The sequence below is a fragment of the Homo sapiens genome, chromosome 16 (assembly GCF_000001405.40).
Source record: "Homo sapiens chromosome 16, GRCh38.p14 Primary Assembly".
NCBI lineage: Eukaryota > Metazoa > Chordata > Mammalia > Primates > Hominidae > Homo > Homo sapiens.
The window spans coordinates 29165615-29171614 of NC_000016.10; the positions used below are offsets into that span (position 1 = coordinate 29165615).

Sequence of the window (6000 nt, forward strand, 5' to 3'; positions counted from 1 at the left end):
TCCAGGATCTCACTAGAATAGAATATTATCGCCTTGATTTCACTGCTTTCATTTTTATGGCGACTTTCTGTTTGGTCAGTCGACTCTGATTTTTCCTTTACAGTAGTAATATCAAGTTTGATTTCTCAATACTTGCATTGCAGTTTATGAGAAAATTTGTTTAAAGAAAGATAAGTGAACAGCATTCTGGGGCGGGAGGAGGAGGGCGGTATTCAGATACGGCGAAACCATTTGTTGAGAGTGGAAAGGCTGGTGTGATGAGCGCCGTCAGTGCTGCAGGCGGCAGGGAGGGCCTGGGGCTGCCCTGTCTCGCCTCTACCTTGGGAGCTGCTGTGTGAGTTGAGCACTGGGCTGAGGGTGGGGTGGCCTCCTTTCCATCTGAATTCTGTATTTGAGATGAAGAAGGTTGGATTTGGTGACAACAAGAACTGTGTTTAGAAGGAAAACTCTGTTTCTTGAAGCAACACCTACTCCAAATTTCCAGAGGGTTTTGCTGTCTCCTCACCTCAGTTAAATGAGGGAGACTGTGAAGGACCAGCCCAACACTGAAGATCTAAGAGTTTATTCCCAAAACACCTCCCCAGAACCAAGCTCCAGGACACACAGGCATGAGGCTTGCCTGTGCCGGCGGCCACAGCAGTGAGTGTAGGCCCAGGGTTCTGCACAGGAGGGGCTGTGCCCCTGTTTAGGTCTCGGCCCACCGGCCTCTAGTCTGTGTGAATTCTATGGGAATTACTCCCTGGGCCCTGGGAGAAGGGCAGAGGATGGCAGCTGTTGGGTGACCCAGATGGCGAGACAGCACCAGCACAGATGCCTGAGCCGCTGAGGATGGGTGGCCCCTCTCGAGGCCAAGGGTTGAGCCCCTGAAGGCCACGTCGCCCAGAATGCAGGCCTTTCTCGGGGGGCCGTCAGGAGAAGTAGGGGGTGATCCTGGGTAACTTGGGGCACAGGCTGGTGCAGCCCTCTCCAAGGATGGCATCTCTTGAGGTTTTACATTGAATTCCATGATATAGCATATTTTTAAAAATATGAAAATGATGTTCATAATAACCAACTGGTTGAATTATTATTTTTTGCTGTTCTCACCCTCCAACCCTCAAATACAATCGATCCTCCATGAAGTGGCGCCACTGTGGTTCAGAACACTTTACACTTTGCTTAGAGGGTGCTCCACCTGGAAGGGCCTGAGCTCCTAAACAATCGGTAATGCAGTGATAAAGCGTTAACTTCCAACTATCAAAAAGTACCTGACTCATTCATTCCAACTGGAGCTCATCCCCGTGAGCTCTGGGTCAGAGAGATGAGCTCCCCAGCCCTGCCACAGCGTCATGCCAGGAACCAAACTAACACGAGCCTCAGGCTCCTCATCTTAAAGTGGGGTTAGCCTTAGGGTCATCTCGGCCTCTGGTGAGCCATCATGGCAGCCTCTCGGCAGGGTCTGGTGGGCAGGAGGTCCTCGGTGAGTCTTGTCACTGCCTCTGTTCTTCCTTGGAATCTGTGGAGCCGAGAAGACAGAACTCATTGTCCTCTGCTTCTGTACTTTGCACATACCGGTTTTTTTTGCTACAAGTTCTATATTGCATTGCATTGATTTATGCAAGTATCTGTTTCTTTATCTGGGGTCCTACCCTCTTTCAACACAGTGCTTGGAATTCAATAGGTGATAAATATATTTTTTGTTAAATTGAAGCTGCCTGGGAGTGGTGGTTCATGCCTATAATCCCAGCACTTTGGAAGGCTGAGGTAGGAGGATTACTTCAGCCCAAGATTTTGAGACCAGCCTAGGCAACATGGGAGACCCCATCCCTACTAAGAATACAAAAAAATACAAAAAGCCAGATGTGGTGGCACACGCCTGCAGTCTCAGCTACTCAGGAGGGCTGAGGTGGGAGGATCACTTGAGTCCAGATCAAGGCTGTAATGAGCCAAGATCGTGCCATTGCACTTCAGCAGCCTGGGCCACAGAGCGAGACTCTGTCTAAAAGAGAAAAAAAGAAAAAGAAGGCTATTGCCACACCAGCCACCAAAGCCCCTCTGAGGGAATCCTGGCATGCTTTGGTCTTTGGTTTGGAAAAGTTACCAGTTTCAGACTTAGCTTTTCTTGCTTGTGATCAAGTCCTGGTCCTGTGGTGGCAGAAGTTTCTGTAGTTTTCTCTTCAGTGAAAAACCATTTCTAGATCTGCATTAAGAGGACTAAACTGAATGCGTGGGTCGGCAGAGTTGGGCTCGAGGACCATTACCGTCGGGCGCTGTTTGTCTCTAACCCGAATACCAAGCCTCCCAGATGGCAGCTTGCAGCATCGGGGTGCGTGCGCAGGAAACGGGAGGCTGAGCTGTCCAGCCCTCCCTCAAAAGCCGGGGTCGAGGCCATTTGGGGGTCTTCAGAGAGGTCTCGCTGTATGCTCTGGACAAACTGCATGCCGCACACAGCAGGTATAGTCGGTTCTGCCAAAACGTGATATCGGCGTCCCTAGAAACCACCACGCAGGCAGAATGGCGCAGTTAAAAACCACGGTGTGTGGGGAAAGGAAGCCAAGGGTGCAGCACTCAAGGACTTCACCGGCACCAGGTTACAAAGGGAGTGGAGGCCGAGGTGGGCGGATCACCTGAGGTCAGGAGTTCGAGACCAGCCTGGCCAACATGGTGAAACCCCGTCTCTGCTAAAAATACAAAAAATTAGCTGAGCGTGGTGGTGGGCGCCTGTCATCCCAGCTACTTAAGAGGCTGAGGCAGGACAATCACTGGAACCCCCCCGGAGGTGGAGGTTGCTGCGAGCTGAGATCGCGCCACTGCACTCCAGCCTGGGCGACAGAGCGAGGCTCTGTCACAATGAATGAATGAATGAATGAATGAATGAATGAATGGAATCATCACAGTGATCCCAGTACTTAGGTTTAGAGCATCATCTTTCTGAATGTATTGTCATGTAAATGGGCAGCCCTTGGCATTTAGCTTTATAACCACTTTTTCCACCCGGTGGTATTTTGTGGCCATCCTTCTGCGTTGGGACACACTGCTTTGTTCCTTTTCATGGCTGCACGGTGCACTGTTGTACTCACTCTTTGGGCAAACGTTTACGAACCACGTGCTGTGTGCTGGAACCATGTGCTGGGAGCTGGGGACACAGTGAGGAGGACAGAGAGGTCTGCGTGGATGCACCACCATCCATTTCACAAACCCCTTATGGATGGGTCTAGATCATTCTGTGTAGTTACTTTCTGCAATGAGCCATGTTGCAATGCATGTCTTCACTTATCCATCTTTGCATATGTATCTATTAGTTATTTAGAATAAGTTCCTGGAAGTGGAATTACAGAATCAAGAATAAGCACATTTAAAAGCCAGGCGGATGTCCAAGAAGCTCCTAAAAAGCTGCATCCATTTCCATCTGCCGACCCCGTGTGGGTGTGCCCGCCTCCTCACCCTGACAGCAGGGTGTTGCCACACTTGTAAATCCCTGCCGCCTGGCAGTTGGCCTGTGCCTCGAGCAAGCTGGTGTCATGGATTGTGAGTTAGGATGGACAGCTGTTTGCATTTTTTCTTTGGCTGATTGCCAGTGTATATTATTTTAAAATTTTAAATGGATTTGTTTTTTCCTCATTGATTTATAAGAGCTCTTTCTATATGGAGGATATTTACTCCTTGCCATATACCCATTGCCATTTTTCTCTCTGTTAACTGATTCATTTCATCAGAGTTTTCATCTTGTTTCAAAAGAAAGTCCCCAGGCCGCTCCTCCCTGCAGGCAGCTCCTGGACAGGGGTCAGTCCCCCCGCCATGTGCCTGCCTTGCTGATGAAGCCAGGGTGAGGCCCCGGGCAGCAGGGGCTCCTGACCACCTGGGAAGAATCGGCACTCCCTGCTGGCATCTGGAACAGAAGCCTATTGGCCTGGGGACCCGAGCATTCCGTGGGGCAGGGCTATGAAGGAATCGTCTCTGTAAATCTTCAGTGTCCTCATTTCTCCCCTCCTTTATCTCACAAGGCCTCTTGGCCGAGCCCAGTCTCCCCCGAGGAATCCTCTCTGGCACACATCATTTGTCATCTGCTTTGTTCTGCTACTCAATGTTTGGAATTCCAGGCTCACTGAGAAGTCATCTGTTGGGGAGAATTTGGGGCTGGTTGACTCTGTTGTCAGTGACACCGCCAGATGGGGCTGACTCCAGATGGACGGGGTTGGCCAGGGTCGATCTGGGCCAACAGTGCCAGCCTGTGGCTGCTTCCCGGGCAGGGGCCATCTCATGGGTGCCTGAGGGGTGAAAACTTGGGGTGTTCGTGTCACCTTGGCTGGGGCACAGGAAGGCCCCACACGTTAGCTGTTGGTGAGGAGCACCCACACCCAGGGGAGCACTCACACCCAGAGGAGCACCCACACCCGGGGCCCCTCTTTCCTGGGCATTCGGTTCCTCAGCGACACCGGCTTGGTGCTGGGACCCGTGATCCACAGGCACAGATCTGTCTTCAGGGATCTCACTGTGAAGCTGGCCATGTTTTATTCTTTTTTTTTTTTTTTGAGATGGAGTCTCGCTCTGTCGCCCAGACTGGAGTGCAGTGGTTTGATCTCGGCTCACTGCAAGCTCTGCCTCCTGGGTTCATGCATTCTCCTGCCTCAGCCTCCCAAGTAGCTGGGACTACAGGTGCCTGCCACCACGCCCAGCTAATTTTTTGTATTTTAGTAGAGATGGGGTTTCACCGTGTTAGCCAGGATGGTCTTGATCTCCTGACCTCGTGATCCACCCACCTTGGCCTCCCATAGTGCTGGGATTACAGGCGTGAGCCACCGTGCCGAGCCAGCCATGTTTTATTCTATGTGTTCAGCTGGACAAAGGTCCCCCAGTTGTCCATGTCCTAGTCCCTGGACCTATGAAAGTGCAGCTGGACAGCAGTGCCAGAGCCGTTGTGAAATGTAAGCCACTGCTGTTAAGTCAGGTTCCTCTGCGCTGGGGAGGCTGCGAGGATAGAGCCACCTCCAGCGTTGTCTTCCAGCCTGGCCCCTGCCCTCCTCCTCCTCATCCCATCCGGCCCGCCCTACAGGCACAGATGTCCTTCTCACAACTCTGATTTTCATTTTGTTAGATTGCTGGGATAAAGCAGAGACATGTTCAAGGCATGCAGCTGTCCTGAGCTTTGAGGATGGCGTGTTGCAGCTGTCTCCGGCTTGGCCAGGAGGCTGGGTCCAGATGGCGGCAGCAGGGTCTATTTCTGGCTATTCGTAACCCCAGGCCAGGGTTTTAGATGGGTTTTAGAACATTTAGATGAATGAGTTGTGTGCTCCTGGTCAGCGGCACTTGCTGTATCGTGTGCCCTTCACAAATAAACCTAGCTAGCAGATGTAGCGTGGGCCCTGCCCGTGGGGGCCCATTGACATTTTGCTAATTACTCAAAGAGGAGGCCTGGAGCCTGAACGATGGACGTCTGATGGCTCATCTCATCCAGAGATTGCCTCGTGCCTGTTACGAGTCTGTCCCCAGCTGCCATCCTGCCAGCTCTGCCTTCTTTTTGGAGAAGATTAGATGATTCTCATGTACCGAGCATGCCCAGTACAGGGCAGGGCCTGGGTGAGTGCTCAGGTTGGTGCAGTTTGTACCTGAATGATGACTGTGGAGGGCTTTGTCGTGAGCCTGGCCACTGGGAGGGGAGGATGCAAAGATAAGTTCTGTCCTCCACAGTCAAAGATCTCAGCATCCTTGGGCAGACATGCATGTATGTAACTATGGATGCATACAGCCATGTGCATGTACAGCTGTGTGTGCATATAGCCATGTGTGCGTACAACCATGTGTGCATATGGCTATGTGAGCATACCACCACACAAGCACCATGTGTGTGCAACCATGCGTGTGCAAGTCATGTGTGCATACAGCCATGTGCACATACAACCTTGCATGCAATAACCACGTGTGCATACAACCATGTGTGCATACAGCTGTGCGTACATACCACCAAGCCTGTGTACAGCTATGCATGCATACAGACGTGTGTAACTGTAAACAGTCATATGT

General features: G+C 51.4%; 1 annotated feature.

The window, feature by feature from the left end:
• Positions 764-1264: an enhancer, noted in NCBI's record as "H3K4me1 hESC enhancer chr16:29177699-29178199 (GRCh37/hg19 assembly coordinates)". NCBI's record gives its function as "activates a minimal SCP1, AML or CMV promoter by ChIP-STARR-seq in primed H9 embryonic stem cells {active_cell/tissue: H9 hESC(primed)}" and the evidence as "EXISTENCE:reporter gene assay evidence [ECO:0000049][PMID:30033119]".